Source organism: Homo sapiens, chromosome 6, assembly GCF_000001405.40.
Source record: "Homo sapiens chromosome 6, GRCh38.p14 Primary Assembly".
Lineage (NCBI taxonomy): Eukaryota > Metazoa > Chordata > Mammalia > Primates > Hominidae > Homo > Homo sapiens.
Genome location: NC_000006.12, coordinates 146,962,012 through 146,987,188, shown reverse-complemented (window position 1 = coordinate 146,987,188; position 25,177 = coordinate 146,962,012). Strand labels below are relative to the sequence as shown.

General features: G+C 37.9%; 1 long non-coding RNA gene across 1 annotated transcript in view; it reads left to right on the top strand.

Moving 5' to 3' along the window:
- STXBP5-AS1 (STXBP5 antisense RNA 1) overlaps nt 1–25,177 on the top strand; it is a 363,227-nt gene that overhangs the window by 217,426 nt on the left and 120,624 nt on the right. The window contains exon 7 of the long non-coding RNA NR_034115.1: nt 15,119–15,144. This is a non-coding gene — a long non-coding RNA (STXBP5 antisense RNA 1). The remainder of the gene's footprint in view (nt 1–15,118; nt 15,145–25,177) is intronic.

The window sequence follows — 25,177 nt, the reverse complement described above, 5'->3', positions numbered from 1 at the left end:
GTTTTAGTTACTGTAGCCCTGTAGTATAGTTTGAAGTCAGGTAATGTGAGGCCTCCAGCTTTGTTCTTTTTGCTTACAAGTGCCTTGGCTATTTGAGCTCTTTTTTGGTTCCATATAAATTTTAAAATAGTTTTTTTCTAATTTTGTGAAGAATGTCAATGGTAGTTTAATGGGAATAACCTTAAATCTATAAATTGCTTTGGGCAGTATGGCCATTTTCAAAATATTGATTCTTCCTATGTATGAGCTTGGAATGTTTTTCCATTTGTGTCATCTCTGATTTTTTTGAGCAGTGGTAAGTAGTTCTCCTTAAAGTGGTCCTTCACTTCCCTTATAAGCTGCATTTTTAAGATATTTTATTCTTTTTGTGGCAATTGTGAAAGGGAGTTCGTTCATGATTTGGCTCTCAGCTTGCCTATTGGTGTGTAGGAATGCTAGTGATTTTTGTATATTTATTTTGTATTCTGAGATTTTGCTGAAGTTGCTTATCAGCTTAAGAAGCTTGGCCAGGAGCAGTGGCTCACACCTGTAATCCCCGTACTTTGGGAGGCTGAGGCAGGAGGATCACGAGGTCAGGAGTTCAAGACCAGCCTGGCCAAGATAGTGAAACCTTCTCTCTACTAAAAATACAAAAATTAGCTGGGTGTAATGGTGGGTGCCTATAATCCCAGCTACTTGGGAGGCTGAGGCAGGAGAATTTCTTGAACCCAGGAAGTGGAAGTTGCCGTGAGTCGAGATCGTGCCGCTGCACTCTAGCCTGGGCGACAGAGCAAGACTCCATTTCAAAAAAGGAAAAAAAAGAAAAAAAAAAAGCAGCTTTTGGGCTGAGACAATGAAGTTTTCTAGATATATGATCAGAGATACATGCACGTGTATGTTTATTGCAGCACTACTTATGATAGCAAAGACATGAAATCAACTTATATGCCCAACCATGACAGACTGGATAGAGAAAATGTGGCACATATACACTATGGAATACTATGCAGCCAACAAAAGGGATGAGATTATGTGTTTTGCAGGGACATGGATGGAGCTGGAGGGCATTATCCTTAGCAAACTAACGCAGGAACAGAAAACCAAATACCTCATGTTCTCACTTACAAGTGGGAGCTGAATGATGAGAAAACATGGACACATGGTGGGGAACAACACATACTGGGGCCTGTCAAAGGGTAGTGGGTAGGAAGAGGTAGAGCATCAGGAAGAATAGCTAGTGGGTGCTGGGATAAATACCTGGGTGATGGGATGTTCTGTGCAGCAAACCACCATGGCACATGTTTACCTATGTAACAAGCCTGCACATCCTGCACATGTACCCCTGAACTTAAAAGTTGGAAATAAAAAAAAGGGAAAAGGGAGGATAATACTTCAGTGTCTTTTCAAGAGAACCTTGGGATATATTTCATGTTATGAAACTTATTCCTACATTCTTAGGAAAACCATTGACTTATGTTTACTTGTTAAGTCAATGGTTTATCTATTTTTAATGCAATATTTTATTCTTTATTTCCATTAATTTCTTTATGCTGTGTGTGTGTTTTCTAACTACTTGGGTTGGATGTTCATTTGTGTTTTTTTAAATATTGAAAACATAAGATTTTGAATTTGAATAAATATTTTGTCTTAGCTATTTTTAAGTTACACATGATTTTATATATCTTTTTTTACTAATTATAAAAATCCACTCAATTCAGAAAAGCATGAACAAGAAAGTGTCACTCGTGATCTTAGCAATAGAGCAGGGATCTGCAAACTATATTTCACAGGCCAAGTCCAGCTCACTGTGTTTTTGTTAAAAAAGTTTTATTGCAAACTAGCCACGCCCATTTGTTTACACAGTGTCTATGGCTGCTTTTGTGTTACCCATGGTAGAGCAGAGCAGTTGTGACAGAGATCAAAAGGCCTGCAAAGCCCCAAATGTTTACTATCTAGCCCTTTACAGATTTTTTTTTTTCCTGATTCCTGAATTAGAGAAAACTATCAACATTTTGGTCTCTCTTTTTATCTCAGCTCATTTATTTTTTATATCAAAACACTGGCGTTTATCTTTTTACCTGTCTGGGGGAAATATTGTCAGTGGTCTTCCTAATGCCATTTTTCCCCCTTAATTCTTATTTAGAGAAACTTGGTTGTTTGAGGGAATGTGCCTAGGTAAAAATATTTAATTTTCTCTACTTTTCTTCAATAAATAATGATGTTGGGATATAATTCTGAACAATGAGCGTCCTTCAGTTTCTGATTTCTATAGGGCATACAAACTTAGTAACTTAAATAAATATTTAAAGTGTCTGGACCCTTCTGATCTGGACGTGTCTCAGCTGATCATGGCCGGGCTTATTCGTGTGTCTGTGGGCATCTGGTGAGCTGGGTAGAGGTTGGTTGCACTGGGGGGCTGCAGGTGGGGACCATTCAGCTCTTCCTCATGTGTCTTTTGTATGAATATAGCTGGTTCCTGGCAGCGAGAGGGACTCCATGGCAGTGCCAGGAGTCCAAGAGAGAAAGCAGAAATGTGCAAGTTCATTTTCAAGTCTTTGCTCTGTTGTTTGCTACTGTCCTGGTGGTCAAATCAAGGCACGTGTCCAAGCTCGCAGTCACAACCAAAGGGCATAAATATAAGAGGCATGAGAAACTGGATCCCTACATGCAATCGATTTACCAGATAGACAAACGTAAAAGTGCATGAACAGGGCATCCCTTCCCAAATAAAAAGAGAAGGTATTTCTTCTGCCCGAAAGAGAGATGTGAAGTCTGGAGGTGTGGTCACCATCTTATGCCTTTGAAGTGACATATACAAGAACAAAGGCCGATCTATTTGTTAATTATAGTGGAGCACAAAGATAGATCTTGCATTCCTGACATTCTGTTTTAGCCTCTTGAGCAATTGTAGAACGAGTCTGTTGTAGGAGAAAAATAAACCCTTCCTGAATCACCTCCTAGCATAAGGTTTCTGCTAAATATTGCCAAGTATGTTTTTCAGTTAATAATACATTGATAGCATTTCTTATTTGTACATATAAATCTAAATTAGTACATACAAATCTGTTTTCAGAAATGGCTTGTAATATATGACTCTACCAAAACTTATTTAATGAGCCTCCTCTTCAAGATATTTAAGTAGCTTCTAGATTTTCAGTATTACAAATCATGCTTCAGTGATCACCTTTACACATGTATCTTTGCACACTTCTCCAAGTGTCTTTATAGGGTATACTTCTGTTAGAGAAATTTTGAAAATGAACATATTTATGTTGTTAAACATATGGCAAGAAAATTCTGCAAAAAATTGGTAAAATTGACTCTCCTATCAGTAATTTATGATTATATTTATTGTCCCAAAACTGCTCCAAATTTGGGTTTTGAAAATCTTTAAAGATTTTACCAATCTATTTGAAAAATACATATCCCATATTTGTTTTAGTTGATAACGCTTTGATTTTTAGTAAGATTGGCCCCTTTCCACATATTTGTTATTTACATTTTTAAATGAACTTTCTGCTTATACCTTTTTCTCATTTTTCTACTTGTTTGCCTGTCTTTTTCTTGCTACATTGTATTTGCTTTCTACATACTGTAATATGATTGATTGTATTTGCTTTATGTGTTGTACACATGTTCTCCTAGTTTATTGTCTTTTTCTTTGTTAATGTATATTTTCCATGAAGAACCTTATTTTTGTTCAGAAAAACCTACTAGCTTTTAAAAAATAATGTTTCTGGGTCTTGTCTATGCTTATAAATCCCTTTCTTAAAACTACAAAAAAATTCTAAGTTTTCTTTCCATTACTTTTGTGGTTTTAAAATATATCTAAGTCTTCAATCCATTTGAAATTTTTGTATGTGTATAGTGTGGGAAGAAATATAACAATTTTCTTTCAAATAAATGACAATTAGTAAAAGTGATCTTTGTTGTGTGTGTGTTTGTGTGTGTATACACATCTTTGTCAGTTTATGTTATGAGTCTTATTTTGGCTTTGAAAAAGATAATAGGAAGATTTTTATCTTTACATGATCTGGAAATGTTTAAATAACATATGAATATTTTTGAAAGGCTTGCAAAGATTTCTTATAAAAACTGGCAATTTTGGGGAGTAACTTTATTTCATTTGTTATTTTTGGTCTGTTTAGGTTTTCTATATTTTCTGGAATTTCTTTTGATAATTTATATTTTCCTAGAAAACTATCAGTGGTTAGCTACCACTTTGTTTTGTTAAAATATTTTTCTACCCATTTGCAGGCAATTTACTTTCACATATATTTACCCATTCCAATTTCTATTTTCTAATTCATTAATTTCTGGTTCTTCTTTATTCATTCTTTCATTTTGCCTTTCTTAGGGATTTTCTTGTTGCTGTTGTTCTTGAAATGAATACTTTATTCAATACCTTATTGTTCAGTGCTGTAAGTGTTTCGACTACCAATTTTCCTCTCTGTACAGCTTTGACCGTATGTCTTAGTTTTCAAATTTCAATACTTGAAAATTAAGAATTTTCATTTTTATTATTTTGTAATTATTCTTTTGACTTATTTCAATAATACACTTTCTGAGAAGGAGTTTACGTTTTTAAGAGATTGGGTTGTTTTTACTACATTTCAATTCTGCTAGTACTTGCTAGTTTACGGAATTCTAGATGAAAATATAAATTATTTGTACTTTTTGGTATCTATTCATGTTTTCCTTGAGCGTTAATATACAATCACATTTTCTAAATGATCTAATGATCTACAGGTGCTTTATGGTGAATTCCCCATTTTTATGGCAATATATAAAGTATCTAATAACATATATATGTTGTATTTTGCCATCAAATAGATACAAAATGTATTAGTATTTTATATTATTATGTTACTCAGCATAATCTTTCAATTCCCTTTTCCTAAAGCCCCTGTGATGCTGTTAAAGCAGATTCCCGGGTGCCATTCCTAAAGACTCCGATTGGGTGAGTCTAAAATCCAAAGAAAAGCCCTACTACAGTGAGCATGCTCTTTGCTGCGTGGGAGATAGGAGTGGCTGAGGGAAGCCCTGTACATTCAGATCTTTTGTTTGACAATCTGTGTTTATTTATTCAGCTCAGCTGACTCTGTTTAGCAGCAATACAACTAACTACTTCTTTATCTCCTTCCCCTTTTTGATCTCCAGATCATTTCTTAGGGTTAGAAGTATTATGATATATTGGCACTCTGTGCTCTATCTCAATTTTGTTAAAAACTTATTGTTTGGAGTGTATCCATTTCCTAGTTTCATTGAGCATGGAATTTGCTCTCTCATATTATTTTGCTGCTCTGGTGGTTTTAAAGAGAGATCATTTTCAAGAGAAGTTTTTTTTAATGTCTTTTTTCTTTAGTTCTGCTATTTCTTTTATTCATCTCAATCTGTAATCTTATCTCTTATCTATCGCTTTGCAAAGTCTATGTTTCCCTTAATTTTCTCAAGTGCAAAGCATTTTCTGCCTAAAAAAATATTCCAGAGTCAAACTTCTTAATCTGGTTTCAGTGTGCTACATTTATATTCTCATTTTGAAATATTCTTCTTGCATAGTTTCTCCATCTTCTCTTCTTTTCTATTTTATTTCAATAACACAGGCTCATGTAGGTTTGATCTCCCTTCTCCCCAGTGATAGTGTGGTTGTATTCTTGGGATCACTACCTATTTTCCAGGGAATTATTAAGTTCCTTCCTTTAAAGTCCATGTTGGACAATTTAGCTAATTCCATATTTCAGTTATTCAGCAGCCTGAGCATGATAGAAAGTTGAGTACCTTGTCAGTCACAACTGGGTAATTAGGTAAAATTCTGTGAGACATTTCTTGATGTTTGAAAAATGGTAATAGAGTCCAGTTTGAGAAGATAGAGGTAATCCTTTCCTGCCCAGAGATGTACACATCCGTTGTGGAGTCACCTTCTTCAGGGACAACTTGTCACACTAGTTTGACAGTGCTTGGGGGAAATATTTCATGGTTCACGGACTTTCTGTCTCAGAAGGTGAATATGTTTTCTCCACCATGGATCGCTGCCCTTGGTGCTATTGATTGGGAGCTGTGAAAATGTCAGAAATTCAGTCTTTCTCTCATGCCTTATCTTCATCTTCAGACTTTGCCCCTTTAGTACATATTTTGATAGCAATACAATGTACCACAATGCTCTTTGCAGATAAGGCAACTAAGTCATGGAGATGTTAAGTAAATCAATCAGCCCCAAGTTTAGAGATGGAATGTGAACACAGGTGACCTAACAGCCTGGCTCTTTACCACTATGCTATCCCTTCTTTCTACCAATATTTACTGAAGGCCGATGATACAAGGCCCTTAGCTGGTAGGGCATCATAATATGATTTCATGGGAGAGCTTGAGATTTTTAGATCTACAGATAATACATAAGACTTGTTTAAGCAAAGTACCCACTGTCTCTTCAATTTATGAGTCTTTCAATTTATATGCTTGCTGATGTCCCTTTCTGCCAATTCTCTCCTGGAAATGCACACAGACACTATAATAGCTAAAAGGCATTCAGCCTGAGAGAGCAGAAGGAGAATAGAGGTACAAACCATCTGCAAATGCAATAATCAACCTCTGGATAATTGAAAACTGATTAAATCATATTATGATTATTTTTTCTAGGAGATTTGTCCAAGGCTTTCTAATAATAATCCAAAACACGGTAGTTGTTTTGTAACTTTTGTGATAGGCCTACTCTTTCAGGTGTCTGCTAAAGAGATGATTAAGAGGAATTCATTAATTAATCAAACATTCTGTTCAGTTCTTCCTTTTTTTTTTTTTTCATTCTAACTGCAGTTGATATTTTTCGGGGTACAGGAAGTATCATGATTCAATTGGCTGAGGGAAACAAAGAGCATTTTTCGATAACAACTCAGTCAGAGGTCAGTTGCCAGGATTTTATTGTTCATCCCCACACAGTAAGATGATTTCTTTTCTCTTGTCTTTAGCTTGACACCAATATGAGGAAGCCTAAGTTTCCTCTGCTATGTTTGGTGATTGATTTTTGTAGCTGGGGAAGCATCCTTTCACTGCATGAAGACCTGGGTCTACCAAGGCTTCTGCAGGGAACTGCTGGAGCACAAAGTATTCATCTCAAAGTTTGTTTTAGAGAGACTTGGGAAATTTTAAAAGCTTACCGAGGCAGTACAGCAAATGCAGCCTAATATTAATACCATATACTACCAGGAATAGCAAGTCCAGAGCAAGTAACCCTACTTCCCACATCCAGGCTGGCAAAGCTCATTGGTCAGGTTCTCTAAACTATGCTCTGCCCATATCCACCTTTAAATTCTTTCCAATATCCCAGAAGCTAATATACTCCATAAGGCTAAGAACAAATAATCCAAGTTAATATAAAAGCAAGTAAATAAACGAGCACCTATCTGACAGCCTTGCATGGAGCGACAAACCATCTAGGTAGTCCTTACAGTTCTGAAGTTTTCCTCTCACATTCAGCAGAGCTCTCAACCATCCTTCTAGAGTTTGCCATATTGTTTAGCTCTTTCCCTTAACAAACAAATGAGAAAACTTAAATAATAGTTGTAATTATGTAGGTTATTCTACTTCTCAGTAGAAGTGTGATGCAGGGTATTTTGGTCTGTCTTGAACTAGGCTCAGCTCCCTGGTTTTTGTAGAATCACGGACTCATTTCCTTCGTGCCATTTGGATTTTTTTTAGCCTCTGGGTTCTTCTCCTCAACTCTACTCTAAGAGCCAGTAGTATTTATTGAAAGAGTGCTATGTTTCTAGGCATTTTACATCATTACCTTTAATCCTCCCAAGAACCCTAGCAGGCATCTATACTAATTCTGTTTCACAAAGAAAGAAATTGAGGTTGAACTAGTAAGTCGTGGAACCTCTGTCTGAGCCTGAGACTTGACTCAGGACTCTCTCATTCAAAGTAACCATAGAAATTTCAGTTTATATAAAATGGAGAATCTTTATGCCAATACAAGTTTTCAGGGTTTGAGGAAGATATCAATGAAACCACCATGAACTGGTTCACTTTATTATTTCTCACAAAAGGTAGTTGTTGCAAGCTTTTTTGCTTAGATTTTGCTTTGTACACAGTCTGTTTCTATGTAGCATGGCTTGAAAGGAAGAGAAATTATTCAAAATCCAATAACTTCTGTGTTGATAAATATGGATATCAAATCCAGATGATACAGATTCTTGTTTTTGGAAAGGAGAAATAAAGAGGCAAGGTTTATGTAAAGAGGATTAAAGAAACTTCTCCAAAATCCAACAGCACAAAGCGATTTTTATTAGCTTTACAAACAAGAATAGAAATTTGAACAGTTCATAAACTCTAAGTCAGTCTGACCCTTTCCCAGGAAACACGAATTCTCTTTCCAGTGGGTAACAATCAGTGTTGGCTTAGTCAGCACCTGTCCCTCTTCTTCCCCATTTCATTTGTTTCTGCTAAGAAACTGGCAATTATTTGCATTTAAGGTCTTCCCTATTGATTATATTTGAAACTGTGAACTGGATTTGCTGTCTGAGGCAGGAGGTGAATAGAGATAAAAGGAAATTAACCCTAGCAGCAGGTGAATAAGATACCAGCAGTTTTGGAAAGGTGAAAGAACTACAATGCAATAGCCTTACCCCTCCAAAATCAAGGGCAGAAAGCTTTTTAAGAAGGGATCATCACTAGAGTCAGATGCTATGTAGAGTTCAAGAATGACAAAAACTGATCAAGGGGCCATTAGTTTGAATGATTAAGGGGGCAATAATTTCTTTTCATAATGTTATTTTAGTTTTCAGTGGTAGGGACAAAAGCTTTAAAAAGGGAGAAGTAAAAGGGCCACATCCATGTGAGCTATTGTTATATTTATTCTATTATTTAATTGTTCTGATATTCTTTCCTAGTAATCCAACCTAAATGCTGATCAAAAATTGACTTACGTATGTATGTAGTTATTAACACTGAAATGATTTAAAATAAATTTTAAAAATGCCAAAAGCTGATTTTTCTCTCCTGGAAGCTGAAACGACTGCACTATTAGGACCATCTTGAGCAGAGAATTTATTATACAAGGTACAATCTCACTGGGTATGCTGCCCAAGTAACCTTGTTTAGAAGGATATATACGTTTTTGGTTTAGTTTAAAAGAGGTGACTAGGAGAAGAGAAAACAGCAAATTACAAATAAGATGCAATGCCTACCTTGGGTCTTTTAATTTTTTCCCTGCTCCGAAGTCTATAAAACTCAATAAGCCACAATGAGCATAATATAATAAGGTGTTCATAGTTTCCCTTTATAGACTTTCAGGCAGACCAGCCCTAGAAGTTCTGTAGCTATACGCTGTTGCTCTAACACAAGGGAGGCTGCATTTCTGTAGATGCTACCACTGATCACACCACCTGAAAATGCTGAGTGAATTGCTTTAAAGAACATGGCTGTCAGACCTCCATAGCGTCAAGTGTGTATTCATTTAGTTAGAGCTAGGAACCAACAACAGCGAAATGACAATGACTAAAATCAAGAGTCTCTGATGACCAGGGAAATTGTTACAAATGTCCAGGGTGTATTGATTCTAAATCAGGAGACCCCAGTTCAAGGCCCCATGGTGTCGTTTGTGTGATTATGAATAAGTTATTTAACCTCTTGATGTGTTTCCTCCTTGTATAAAAGAATAATGACATAATGACATCTGGACCACAAACTGTCCTGCAGAGTCATAGAAAGAGGGCCAATGTAAATCCTCAAGCAACTACACGTGAAAGTTATTAGTGTTGTTAGCATTTCTGTTTTGATTCCCCCAATGCTTGATTTTATATTTGGCATTAGAAATATTTTCTGGACAGATCTGCCAAGGTAGAAAATGTTAGCAATTGAGAACTATTTTGAAATGATCCTTTTATTTTGTACCTAAAAATCAAAACCCCCAAATCCAACAAATAAGCAGCATTACCAACCTACAAGCAAACTGAACTACTGAGAGAAGTAATTTTCTCAACATTGTCCAAGTAGTGAGTGGAAATCCCTAGAAAAAAACACATTCTTAGACTTCCAGATTTTTATGTCTTCATGCAGCATGATAAACACAAGTACTCAATAATTAGTTTTTAATGAGAAAATAAAAATAAGAGGCATCTTTTTCTAATGAGTCAGTTGCATCTTTCTGTGAAATAAACCCAGCTTCTAACATTTTCTTCAGGGTAGTTGTGCCTCTCCACCTCTCTCTATCCAGTTGTAGCAGGAAAAGCTGTATTATACCCTTACTCTGCCTCTTGGAATGAGGCCATGGCGGAATGGTCCAGTAATGGGCACCTGCCCCTAGGAAATGCTCTGGGAATTTTCTGTCTGGATTCTGGGGGTATAAGTTGTGAAACTTGGCAGCTGTCAGTGGCCTTGTTTCCTGTATAAATTTCTGGAGTGCTAGAGAGGTGGTTTGGAGGGAGGAGAAGAAAGGAGAAAAGAGAAGAAGAAGGATGGGGGGAGAAGAGAGAAGAGGAGAAAGCTCTTCTATAGAGTGGAAAAGACACCAGTATGAAGCCCAAGTCTTTTCAATCTTAGTTTCAGGCCAGACTATTTATTTCAGCAGGCTAGTGTTTCTCTCTGGATCCTTTGACAGACACACTGGTGAGCATATGGACTTTGGGGTCAGCGGAACTGAGCTTGAATCCTAGAGTCACATTTACTGGCTGTGTGACCTTAGGAAAATTATTTAAATTCTAGAGTCTCAGTTCCTTAATCTGTATAAGAGGATAAAAAGTCCCCATCTTGTAAAGTTTTTCTAAAGCTTAAATAAGATATTGTGTGCAAAATGCTTAATTTAAGCCTTGCACAAATTAGACACCTAGTAAAATGCAGCCATTAGAATCATAGATTTTTGGAATTAGGGAATGCTAGGGCAGAAAGGATTATTGGAAACCATCTGGCTCATTGATTCTCATAAGACCCTTCAGAGTCTTAAGCGCTCTCTAAAGACAGACAACATAGGAATAAAACAGGACCTCTGCACCTCAACTCTTACTTCACACGGAAAGCCTCTATTTTTGTGTCATATTTTGGAATTTCTAGTTTAAAAAGTAATATGAGGGAAGACTTTTGCAAAAGGAAAGTTTGAAAAAAATATATTCTAGTGCAACTTACTGACTTTATAAATGAGGAAACTGAGACACAGGAAGTCAAGTGATTTTCTTCTTTGCCCATCTTGTCAGGGAACTATGGGGGTATACACACTCTTCATTAATATCAGCAAGCCCAATGCCGGTATATTCAGCCATTGGCTCTCCTACCATGGTAGCTTCCCCAGATTCAAGGCTACAGTCAAGAGTGGCTCCAGTCTGCTTTCCCATTCTAGGCACCAGGTTCTGATTGAAATTACAGAGGGAGGCTGTGATCAGATTAATTATCTAAAACTATTTCCGAAGACAGTGAACAGACAATTAAAAAATGAGATGTCTAAACCCATGCTGTGGAATAAAAACTCTATACTATTCTCTCAAGTTATTCAGGCAAAATTAAAAACAAGGAACTCTGAAGAACATAAAGTAGACTTTGAGATGGACTTCCAACTCTTACTGGAAATTGGTAAAGTCTTTAGTCATGTATCATTAAGGGAATTGTCTCTGTTATGGTCCAGTCTAGATATCTCTTCATCATTCATGTTCTGCTGATACAGTTCATATCCCGCCCCAGACTGGGATGACATTTTCACTTTCTTCAATCAAGCTTTATTCATGATTACTGTGAAATTTTTAGTCTCTGCATCTGCAATTGCTCAAAGATGATACTGTAAGTCAACTGATTTCTAAGAAAGCTTCAATTCTGAAAAATGCCTGTTGCCAGTTAGCAACTCATAATGATTAAAATGACATTAATGGACAATGTTTATTGAGCACTGCAGTGCTTCAGCCGGGTCACAGATTGACAGGAAGAGACCCCCCTCACCCAGCACACACACACACGTACTGCAAGGTTAGATTAGGGTCCTGATCTAATTAGCCAAGGATGCAAACCTAATCAGAAGGGAGGTAGCTACACAGGAGAAGACCAGATGCTGCGAATCTCAGCATAGCTTCCTGGGCTGCCCCCAAAATCTAACAGGAGCCCACAGCTTCCAGAGGCTCTGTCCATTCAAGGTGCACAAAAGGGTCTTTCTTGACATGGCACTGCCCTTTGATATTCAGGGTGTCCATCATTTTCTAGATGGAATTGTCTAACAACCTATTTGCCTCTTGAACCCAGTTCAGGGTCTGCAACATCTCATCTTCAGCAGGGGAGTAAGCAGTGTCAGGGCCTGGATGTCCCAGAATCAAATCTCTGCTTTCAGATTTTCAGGGTCCTGGGAAAGACTCAATTTTCCATTCACCAAGTGCCCTGGCTCTCACGCATCATCTCATTGAATCCCTGGGAAGAGCTATTAATGGTTCACAATAATTATCCCAAACCCTCAGGGTCATATGAATTTTTCAATTCAGAGCTTTCAGATTTCAGTCAAGCTGTGTAGTGCATGTACCATATATTTAATTTGTACCACCTCCAGGGGGGTCTGAGGCAGCACCCCATAAATAATCACTTTATAAGAGGAATAAATAAAGGCTATGAATTGACTTATCTTAGTTCAGTCAGGATCTGCTACCAGATGCTTTTGTGTCAAACGTATGCCAAACGTGCCAAATGCTTTTGTGCCAAAAGTCTTTTGGCTCTAAGAACATTTTGGACATTGCAATGCAGATTACATTTGTTTACCTACATTATTATCTTCATCTTGCAATGGAGGAAGCGGAGGCTTAGAGACAGACCTTAAGAACCTTGCCCAAGGCAACAGCCAGTAAGTGGTGGGATTAATATTCAGAGTTAGGCCTGTCTAAATTCCAAGCTCACATCTTTAATCACTCACCATAACCTAGCTGTGGCTCCCTTTCAATTTGAGAGAGGTTTAAATGTTCTGTCTCCCTCTAAGAGGAACTTGACTAGGGGGAGGATAGTGAGACACCTTGGGTACAAAAGGAAGGGGACATCCAAATCTCGGTAATCAAGACAAATCAATTTTAACATAATATACTTACAATTAAAATTAATGCAAAAAATCCTCAGTTTAAAAAATATAAAAAATTTAAATCAAGATGGGATCAGCGTTACTGTCTTTTAATTTTGCCTCAAATGCCCATATGGCTAAGAGCTGTGTGAGTACTGCTGTATCTAGTCTCTGCTTTCCCTGAAATAAGAAAAGGTATGATACCGCATTCCTTTTGGCAAGAAGGGTGGCTCCAGAGTGGGTCCCAAGGGAAGTGGTTCTTCAGTGTACAGAATTTGTGAACACTACCATGCTTCCTGATTACCAGGGTTAAACATCCCTTCTGGCTACAGAAACCCAACATTATTGTTGAACTGTTTCATTCCAGCCTCAATTATACCAAGAGAAGAAAGGTTATGTTTTTGTAGACACTTCAACAGAGTTAAGGGATTGGAATGGAAAGGTTTAAGTTGCTCTACTATCAAGTTCACAATTGTATCCGTGAGGCCTAGTGAGAAACAGAATCCATACCAATGAAGAGAGTTTAATGAAGGAATTACTTATGGGCTGAGGAAACAGAAAGGATATTAGGATACTCAGAAAGGAGCAATAGTACATTGCTGATACTACCCACTAGCCCAAAGGGGAGCAGGGGAAAATGGTGGTCCTAGAATCTGAGAACTGATTGGTGCAAAGGAGCTGTGAAGCAGAAGCTCTGGTTGTGGAGCAGCACTGCCCCACAGCAGGGACGGAGAGGGGAATAATTCCCCAGCCTATTGCTCCCCTGCTTTATCCAATCTCATGCCAGAGCCTCCCATGGGCTGGACCCATAGGAAATAGCCAGAAGTGGGCCTGGCCGGTGCCGTGAACACGGGTCAATGTGGAGCACAGAGAAAGGCATCAGAGGGTGGAGAAAGGATCTGGGGCAGGGAGAAACTGAAGGGAAACCACAAAAGTTTTGTTCATTGATTTTCACAAGCTCAGACACCATCAAGTACACAGCCTATTTCATGACACAGTGAAAACAGAAGGAATACAAGGACAGTCACTTTAGCTAATGATTTCACTACCACTTAAAATGAAATTATTGCATGCAAAAATCACTATTGAGTATTATTATGTTGGTGCAAGATTGATTGCCATTAAATGGCAAAACTGCAATCAATTTTGCACCAACCCAAAATTCCCATTGTGCAGAAAAGAGTGTGATTTTATTCTCCTTTTTAATAAAAGAAACATTTATATAGAAAAGAAGATGGTTCATGTTAATATGAGTCCCTGGCAATATGACGCAGATTTCCTTTTTATTCCATTCAAAACAATAAGAGAAAGACTAGGAGATAAGGCATTGAAGATTTTAAACCCTAAATAATCCGTCTGAATCAGCATTCAAAGACAACAAAAGGACTCAATGGGGATTTAAGTAAAGTGGCTATTTTTGTACATCATTTTAAGAGCATGGTTAAAAAGTGATGACCATTGATTTGGTATGACTCATGGCCACTGACGTGGATATATTCTCTAAATATATGAGACGTCTATCCTGGGGTAATTACAGATTTCTTTTCCATACGAATGACTACATTGGGATATTATTTAGGCTTCTGATAAGTAAGGAGGATAAGGAGAATGCGAGCAAGATGCTCTACCTGCCCCTGAGGACCACCAAGGGAAAAGATGCTACTTAGGCCACAGAGCTCTTAATGCTAGTGTCTTTTCACATCTTTATGATTTCATGCCAAAATTTAAGACCAAATTACTTGATTCTGTCTTCTAGCACCAAATTCCTTTAGCTGCTGCTTGGCTCAGTTCTCCATGGGTCATCTGGATCTTAAGAATGTCTAAAATATTAACTTTTCACGTTCCCCTTTGGTATAGTTGGGTAAAGTACTTGAAGCCAATATAAGTCACTGTTAGAAAATACTATTAGAATTTTTCTCCTACAAATTATATCAGATAAAGAATATACGCATTTTTAGAAGTATTTTCCAGGCTACCTGTCTTATTGGTTGAATCTAGTATATGCTGATAGCACTCTTTCCTCCTTAGTGTGGATGCTTAACCACACTTTCAATATTCAGTTTGTTTTTCTGTCTCGGCTTTTCCCTTCCCACTTGAACAAAATTAAATATCTACTTTTTAACTTTTGTCTTTCAGAGACCCACAAAAGAAGAGATACTGAGGTAAATTTTCAGAATAAATTAGATTTGGGAAAATGCTTATTAATTAAGTTATATATAGTCAATGTTTATTGTATATTCTTTATATAACATTGTGTTATATACTGGGAATTTAAAGATAAGTAAGGCTTCCTTATTTTCAGAAATATCAAATCTAATAAGGAAAGCAAACAGGTAAAGATGATTTCATTTAATATGCTAAAGATAATAACAGAAGTATAAATAATTTTTTCTGCATACAGGCATTCTAAGCCCACTCATAAATTACTGGCAAAATGAATTCAAATACTTATTCTTTCATTCTTAGAATATTGCCCAAAGCCTTTATTTGTAAAGCTACATGTTTTTTGACTTGCTTTATCAGTTGTATAGAGTAGGATAGCAGGGAATCTTTATATCATAAACATTCATGCTGACAACAAAACGGTGTGTCACTTTTGTTGCATAGAGGTAAACGTGATTGCAGTGTGCACTTGAAAGATGAAACTTTATAAATACAACTGCTTTGGAATTTAACTTAGAGGTCACGTAGATAAATGCATGTGTTGGAAAGTCTGAGAGTCCTGGATTTGATTTTTGGTTCTGCCATTTAATAGTTGTGTGAAAGGTTACGTGAAACCATTTGAAAATAAAAATATTAATTTTTAAAGCAGGGATGAAATACCCATCTAAGACCATGGTGGTGATAATTTAATCATATAACATGCATTTGGAAAACATAATTCCCACCATAATCATCCAATAAATGGTAGTTATTATTATTACTTAATGACTCCAAAAATTGCCTGTGTTACATAATCCTTGCTTATACAATTTTCTGTTAAGGAATCACAAGGATCATCATTGCTCAACAAATTAGCTTATAAAATTATAATTTCAATGTATATAAGTATACAATTATAGAATAATTTTTTAATGATAAAACTGACTCTCACTCACTTTCAAGATAGTAATACTGAGATTTAGAGGGCTTTAGTAACTTGCCCAAGTCACTGAGGTGTTTAGAGAATACACAGCTATTAACCCCAAGCAATGCCTTGCACTTCAGAGTTTACTTGTCCCCCCTGCTCACTTCATCCCCACTCTCCCAGTAGTTTCCTTCTGCATTACAAATATTCCTTTTCTCATGAACATCTCTGATTCATGCTCCTTTAACAGGGAAGCTAAACTGTTCTATCATTGATGAGGTGTGGATGAGTTCCTGTTATTAATACAAACAGAGGCACCCTCTGGGTATTATGCATTTATCAGATCATGCATCAAAATATGAAACTACAAAAACAACTAATGAAAACAAAATGAATATTGTTAGCTAAATTAATGCTATCATCTTCAAGTGTGTCTTCAAAATGAAATGGTCCAAAGGCAAAAACAGAACAAGCTGAGAACACTTAGTTCCACAGTGTAGAGGGTTTGAAACACAGACTTAATTTCCAACGTGTTAAATCACTCAAGTGTCAGTGGTGATAAGTATCAGCATATGAAGACCCATCCCCAAATTCAGTATTCTCCTTCCCAGCAAATCTAATAGAATTATAACATAACGCAAGAGCCACATCAACAAAACGAATCTACAGTTTGAAGCGTGACTCAGAGATCCCCTCTCTGCTTCCTGCTGTAGGCGTTTTGAAGCCATTGCCACTGTTCCTTTCTATTGCCAAAATACTTGTTTTAGTGGCCTCTACAAATAATTCCAATGGAGCAGGGATACCAAATCAAGGAATCATGTTACTATGCATGTTTATTTGTTGAAATTATGTAATGCTCTTGAGGTTAGTGAAATTAGCATCTGTACCTGTTAGACTCATTTTCACTCCTTTTCAAGTCAGTGCCATTCTTTCAGTGTTTTAGCCCTTTGTGATAAATGCTTATAAAAGAAATGCTTTAGAGGCTGTATGTTCTGGGAGCATGGTGGTTGGTCAAGCTTCTTTGGTCACCTGAAGAGTTGCCTTAACTTGAGGACAGCAGTGATTTGAATAGTGTTGGTTCAAGGTAGTTTTGTCATTTAAAATAATAGGTGGGAAAGGGGCTGCTTATGATTCCTTTATGTTTTCTGCATGTCTCAATGAGGATGAGATTTTGCTTGAGGAACTCTAGGTAAGAACAGGTAGGATGATTCCACTTTGAGGAAAGGTACTTTGTTACTAACGTTGGTAAGACAGCTTCTGCTATAAATGCTCTTCACAATCCACATGTAGAGAATTCTGGACAACAGTATCAGTCCAGATGCCAGAAAATGCACAGTGAGCATGACATGCTCATCGGCTGAGGCATTCTGACTTCAGCTAAGGACGCAATGATATTTTACTTGAGATTCAGGAATGCAGAGGATAGATTCTGTGGGAGAAAGAAAAGCTTTGTTTAAGTAACTGATCTAAAGACATTACAATGTTAGCTGCTTTCACTCCTTCAAATCCCAAATATTGCTTAATATTTGATTTGCTTTGCATTGAGAATTTGGAAGTAAATAAGATATAGTCTCTGGCATCCAGAGGGTCACAGTCAAATAGGAAAGGTATGGATGGATATTACCCAAAAATATGAGAGATTCTTTAAGTTTGGAAAACTTAAAGGAAAAGGCAGATTGATTCTCTAGTGCTGGCTGCAATGGGCGATTCCTCAGAGAAGGCAGGAGAATGATTGTCACCTGAGCTAATCCTTGAACACATAGAAATTCTCTGGACAAGATGCAAAAGTATTAGAAACAGAGAAAATAATATATGCAAGGAATGGTACGGATGGAAGCTGTGATAAAAATGGCCATTTTGAGGGCTTTTTGAAAAGTGTCAGATTATCCATTTAGCTTCCTTGCATTCATTTTATTTTACCTGGAAGAAAATAAATTAGTAGCACATGAAAAATAAGAAAAACAGGCCGAGGCGGGCGGATCACGAGGTCAGGAGATTGAGACCATGCTGGATAACACGGTGAAACTCCGTCTGTACTAAAAATACAAAAAAAAATAGCCGGGCGTGGTGGCAGGCGCCTGTAGTCACAGCTACGCGGGAGGCTGAGGCAGGAGAATGGCGTAAACCCGAGAGGCGGAGTTTGCAGTGAGCCGAGATCGCGCCACTGCCCTCCAGCCTGGGCGACAGAGCGAGACTGCGTCTCAAAAAAAAAAAAAAAGAGAGAAATAAGAAAGACAAACAAAGCATATGTTCTTGTTAGTCTTGAGGACCTAAATATATATCATAAAATCTTTACATACAGACCATTCTCAAACTGTGGCTATTTTTATGAAACTGTTAAGATATTGCAGGTACCCCATTGACCATTACCATTCAGTGATGATTGGAGGTTAAAATTTATAAAGAGACTTTTATATTCTGATAAAATGATAGATGTTTATGCTATTCCACAACTGCACCACCTTTTCAAATACCATTCCATTACTATTGCTTCTTAGATGACTTGATGCTGGATCACATTGGATATGATATTTCATGCTGAAACTCCCTAATATGCTCCTCAATCTGACATTTGAATTGCCTTAGGGGAAGTTTCTAGTCAAAAGCTTGCATAACTTCATGTCACAGAAATTAAAGGAGTAGCTATTTACACAAATAATATTTTTAACATGCAGGAAAGAATTCTCTTTTGAGTCAATAGAGTATGGGAAATAATAAATTCTTGGAAATCTGTTAAGGTATAGATGCCCAGGCTTAGAAATTTTTACCAATAAGCTACTTATAAATTCAAAGACATAAAGTATAGGTGCTGCACAAATAAGGGACATATTGAGAATGTTTCCTATCCAGAAATTCTTGGCATGAAGCCTAGAAATGAAGTCACTAAACTACTCACATATGTTGGCATCGAATGTCCTGGCATTGCGGAGAAACCTTAAACTACTAACAGCACTGGGAATGTTGAGTTGTTAGTGAAAGCATTCGTATATAGCATGAGTGTAATGAAAGCCAATATTAAGTATGGTATATCATTAATTGATAAAGATGCCTTTTGTGATATTTTTCAAACTATTTGCCGATAATATTAAAAGAACTATGTGTTCTCTAGCAATGTAACACTTAATGAACATTTTTAAATTTTCTTACTATGTGTTAGTTATGGCATTAGCATTCTGCAATGCAAAAGATGAAAGCAACCAGTCTTTGTCCTGGTAGGAGGCAAAGTGTGAATGGTTGCTGTGGCTGGAAGCTGTGTTGCTTTCTTCACAACCAAGCTTACCCCGTCAAAACAAATGAGCCAGGCAAATCCTTTTCTTGAGGGGAAAACCTCACAGAATCTAAACACTTTAACTGTGATTCTGATCTATTTATTTCTCCTCTCCTTCCTTATACTCTGTCATGTCTGGAACCCAGCAATGATTAGAGTCACAGGACAGAGAAGAACTGTTGGGGGCAGAGTTTGTAGATAGATAATGTAGAACCTTCTAGACCATGGCAGGATTTTTGAATATTACTTTGAATGACATGGAAAATCATTAAAGAGATTGAGGCAAAGAGAATCGTATATCTGAAAGGATTATTCTGAGTTCTGTAGAGTAAGAAAATATCATAAGGTATAAGGAGCAAAGCAAGGGATCTAAATGGGAGGTTATAGGAATAATCCAGGCAAGGGATAACAGAGACACAGACTAGCCTGCCAGCAATAAATGTGAAAAGTTTTCAGATTCTGGATATATTTTGAAGACAAAGCCGGTAGGATTTGCTGAAAAATTGAATTCAGGATGTAAGAGAAATGATTCAAAGATAAAACCACAGATTTGGGTTTTATAATTTGGAAGAATGGAGTTGCTACTAACTGAGATGGAGATGACTTCAGGGAGAGCAGGTTTGATGATGGATATTGGCCATTTTATTGGCCATGTTAATTTGAGATGTCTGATATACATGTATAAATGTGACATGAACAATTGCATATAGGTCTGTGTTTCAAGAAAGAGGTCTGGCTGGGCAAATAACTGCCAGCTGACAATATGTAGTTGGTAGTTAAAGCCACAGGACTGAAAGAGATCACCAAAGAATTAAAAATTACAGCATTCCAGTATTCAGAAACTGTGGATATAAGATCCCAACAGATAAAATTCATAGGCAGAATTGGAGTCTATGTGCATAACTATGTCAACTAGTGTCAAGTCAAAGAAATAAAAGACAAGGTCAGCACAGTGGCTCATTCCTGTAATGCCAGCACTTTGAGAGGCTGAGTGAGGAGAATTCCTTGAGCCCAGGAGTTTGAGACCAGCCTGGGCAACATAGTGCAACCTCATCTCTACCAAAACTTAAGAAATTAGCCAGGCATGGTGGTATGGTGTACACCTCTAATCCTAGCTACTTGAGGGGCTGAGGTGGGAGGATTAAAAAAAATAGTATGACAGCATATCTTATGTCAGGAGACTTGGAATAAATCTTAAAAAGCAACTGTTTTTCTTGAGAATTGACCATATAGGAACTTTTGGATTTTGATAGTTGTATTAGTTTATTCTGCACACTGCTATAAAGAAATACCTGAGACTGGGTAATGTATAAAGAAAAGAGTTTTAATTGGTTCATGGTTCTATGGGCTGTGCAGGAAGCATAGCACCTTCTGCTCTGGGGAGGCCTCAGGAAACAAACACTCATAGTGGAAGGCAAAGGGGAAGCAGGCACATCTTACATGGTGAGAGAGAGAGAGACAGAGAGAGAGTGAGAGAGAGTGCTACACACTTTTAAATGACCAGATTTCAGAAGAACTTACTGTTGTGAGGACAATATGGTAGGGGAAATCTGCCCCCACGATCCAATCTCCTTCCACCAGGTCCCACCTCCAACATTGAGGATTGCAATTCGACATGAGATTTGGACAGAGACACAGATCCAAACCATATCATCCAACCTCTGGCCCCTCCCAAATCTCATGTCTTTCTCATATTTCAAAATACAATCTTACCTTCTCAGTTTCCCGAAATCTTAGCTCATTTCATCATTAACTCCAAAGTCAAAACTCTCTTCTGAGACAAGGCAAGTCCCTTCTGCCTATGAGCCTGTAAAATCAAAAACAAGTTAGTTACTTCCAAGATACAATGAGGGTACAGGCATTTGGTAAATACCCCCATTCCAAAAGGGAGAAATCAGCCAAAATAAAGGGGTTACAGGCCTTATGCAATCTGAAACCCCAGGAGGGCAGTCATTAAATTTTAAAGCTCCAAAATAGTCTCCTTTGATTCCATGTCTCACATCCAGGGCACACTGGTGAAAGGGGTGGGCTCCCAGAGCCTTGGGCAGCTCTGTCTCTGTGGCTTTGCAGGGTTCAGCCCTGAAGCTGCTCTTAAGTGCTATTCAGTGCCTGTGGCTTTTTCAGGCACAGTGAAAGCTGTCAGTGAATCTACCATTCTGAGGTCTGGAGGATGGTGACCCTTTGTACTCAGCTCCACTAGGCAGTGCCCCAGTGGGGATTCTGTGTGGGACCTCCAACCCCACATTTCTCCTCTGCATTACCCCGGTAGAGGCTCTTTCTAAAGCCTCTGCTCCTGCAGCAGGCTGGACATCCAAGCTTTTCCATACATCTTCTGAAATCTAGGCAGAAGCTCCCAAGTCTCAATTTTTGGATTCTATGCACCCACAGGCTTAACACCACATGGAAGCTGCCAAGGCTTATGGCTTGCACCCTTTGAAGCAGCAGCCTGAGTATGTGGGCCCTTTGGAGCCATGGTTGTAGCTGGAGCAGCCAGGATGCAGGCAGCAGTGTTCCAAGGGTATGCAGGACAGTGGAGGCCTGGGTCTGGCCCACAAAACCATTCTGTCCTCCTAGGCCTCCCAGCCTGTGATGGGAAGGGCTTCTGCAAAGGACTCTGAAATGCCTTTGAGACCTTTTCCCCATTTCCTTGAATATTAACACTTGGCTCCTTTTTTCTTATGCAACTTTCTGCAGCCTGATTAAATTCCACCCTGAAAATGGACTTTTTTTTTTTCCTACCACATGGCCAGGCTGCAAATTTTCCGAACACATTTATGCTCTGCTTCCCTTTTAAATATGTTTCAGTTTTAGGTTTTTTGTTTTGTTTTGTTTTGTTTTTTTTTTTTTGCTCACACATATGAATGTATGCTGTTAGATGCAGCCAGGCTATACTTGAATGCTTTGCTTCTTAGAAATTTTTTCAACAAGATACCCCAAATCATCACTCTTAAGTTCAAAGTTCCACAGATCCCCAGAGCAGGGGCACAATGCAGCCAGGTGCTTTGCTAAAGCATAACAAGAGTACCTTTACTCCAGTTCCCAATAAGTTCCCCATTTCCATCTGAGACCTCCTCAGCCTGGGCTTCATTTTCCATATCACTGTTACTATTTTGGTCACCACCATTCAACAACTCTCTAGGAAGTTCCAGACTTTCCCTCAGCTTCCTCTCTTCTTCTGAGCCCTCCAAATTCTTCCAACATCATTCAGTTACCCAATTCCAAAGCTGCTTTCACATTTTCAAGTATCTTTATAGCAATGTCCCACTCCTTGGTACTGATTTTCTGTATTAGTCTGTATTCATACTGCTATAAAGAGATACCTGAGACTTGGCAATGTATAAACAAAAGAGGTTTAATTGGCTCACAGTTCTGCAGGCTGTACAGGAAGTAGAGTGGGTTTTGCTTCTGAAGAGGCCTCAGAAAACTTATAATCATTGTAGAAAGTGAAGGGAAGCTCAGGAAACATAATCATGGCAGAAGGTGAAGGGGAACAGGCATGTCTTACCTGGCTGGAGCAGGAGCAAGGGAGAGAGAAAGGGGAGGTGCTATACACTTTTAAATGACCAGATCCCTGGAGAACTCACTCACTATTGTGAGGATAGTACCAAGGGGAAAAATCCATCCCCATGATACAATCAACTCCCACTAGGCCCCATCTCCAATGTTGGGGATTACAATTTGACACGAGTTTTGGGTGGGGACTCAGGTCCAATCCATACCAATAGTCTTATTCTGAGAGTACCTGAAAATCTCCTGAGACCCATTATCAATCTCAGGACTGCAAAAAATCAAAGTTCTGTATTCACTCATGAAAATCAGCCATCAAATACTGTTTTATAAGAAGTAGTCATTTAATTTGACCAAGCTTAAAGAGTTCTCAGGGAGGAATCTTAAGCAGAATGTCACCATTGCATCTCTTCATCTGAAGAAAAAGATTGGTTTAAGAATGTAGTACAGACACTACAGCTGCCATAAAATGGAATGGTCCAAATTTACCAGGTTTCTTTCCACCCTCAGTGGTAGGAAGCAGTCCATTTAGTTGGTTTTCTTGTAGAGCCATGTCTCCAAATATGCCACAACTACCTGTATCTAGATTGAGCTTAGCTTTGGTGAAAGAAACAAGACCTAATTCTGATGAACCTGTTCTTCTATGCATTCTAACCACAAAACAGCTGGGACTCAATGTTGAAATATAGTAGTTTAAAACTTCCATTGACTTAGAGGGAATGTTGGTCCACATAGTTTATAGAAATACTAATGATAAAAATCACTCCCCAAATTAAAGCCAACCTGGATTATTTCAAAATTTATTCCTTTCCTGTTTCACTGGTACCCAACTCCAAAGCAGTGATAAATATTTGAGATAATCTGAGGTCTTAACTTATGCCTGACTTGTTTGCCACATAATAAATTTTAGGTATTAAATATATTGCTATTGTTTTGGGGGCATTGTCAGTTTTTACACTTTCTAAATAGTCACAGATGCTTATGGATGTGGATACCATGTGAAGAGTTCATCTCATTTCTCATAGTTTCAAGGAAGACTGGATTTAATCTTTTCCAGGGACATACCCAGAGAAATTCCCATAACCTTAGTGACTAACCTGATTTCTCTTGAAAATAAAATCTCTGATGATAGGAAAAGCTCCCCCATTGTTGATCTCTCATAAAAGCTCCAGTTGCATCCACCTCACCCTCACTGTACTTCTGATGAGGTGGTTGAGATGGTGCAATAAAGATCAAAGCCATTAGACCACATTTCTAAGAGAGCCATTTGTTTTTGGCACTTGGATTTGCTTATTTTTACTTACAGGAAATTTTATATCACTAAATTTATGTGGTCATGTTATTTTTAAGAATATATATAAAAAGAATTACATAACTTTAAAAATATACTCTGCTTTTGTACCACCTAAAGTCATCTTGCATAATGGAAAATAGACCTAGAAAGTGTCAGTTCAGCCATGACCTCAGTGCATTGATCTCCTTTGCAGGTTAGCTGTGGATTATCAGATTAGTTCAGTGCATTGATTTCCTTTGTAGGTTAGCCCCACTAGGGATGTATCTCAAACATCAATGTCTTAGCTGTAAAGTGAGGATGTTAGGTCAGATTAAATTCTAAAGTCATGTTCATCAATAAAATTGTCAGGTTTCTGCGTAGTTCAGTCTTGACTCAACACAGAGTTCAGCAGGCCTGGCAGGCATTTGCACCTGTCTGAATACCATTACATACCTTCTCTTTAGCCTTCCCTCTTCTAGACTGGATGTCCCAGTTCATACTTCCCTTTGTGTCTTTCATGTACAGTAATTCAGCATTTCCAGTGACATCCTTCTGGCTGTGCTTCAAAGGGAAGATGACGCTAGAGCTGGCAGCATGACCAGCACTGTGTAAATCACCCAGACAGACAACAACACAACATCCATGAATAGATGGCAGAGTTAGCAAGAAAAAATAGCTTGGAGGATGGAAAAACCCCAAAGGTGTGAAATCTCTGGCTTTTTTTCCATTTTATTTAGCTTTGCTTATCATTATTTTTCTTTTCTTTCCTACCCATTTGCCTTTATGTTCTAAGATGTAGTAGGAATCTTTAGTAGTGATGGATCATAATTTTTGAGTCCACAAGCAGACATTATCTGATTTAATAAAAAAATTGGAAAGGTGGACCTTACCCATTTAGAACAACTTCTTATTAGCAAATCAAAACTCTGAGCAAGAGTCTTAGAGCAGGGCCTATAAAATGAGAAGGGCCATGTATTAGAGAGTTAGCTCAGACCTCCAGAGTCAGCCTCACCTACACTTCTGACTTAGGCCAGGCTACAGGTAAGCAGGATAAACAGGAACATCTAGTTCTTTGTTTTG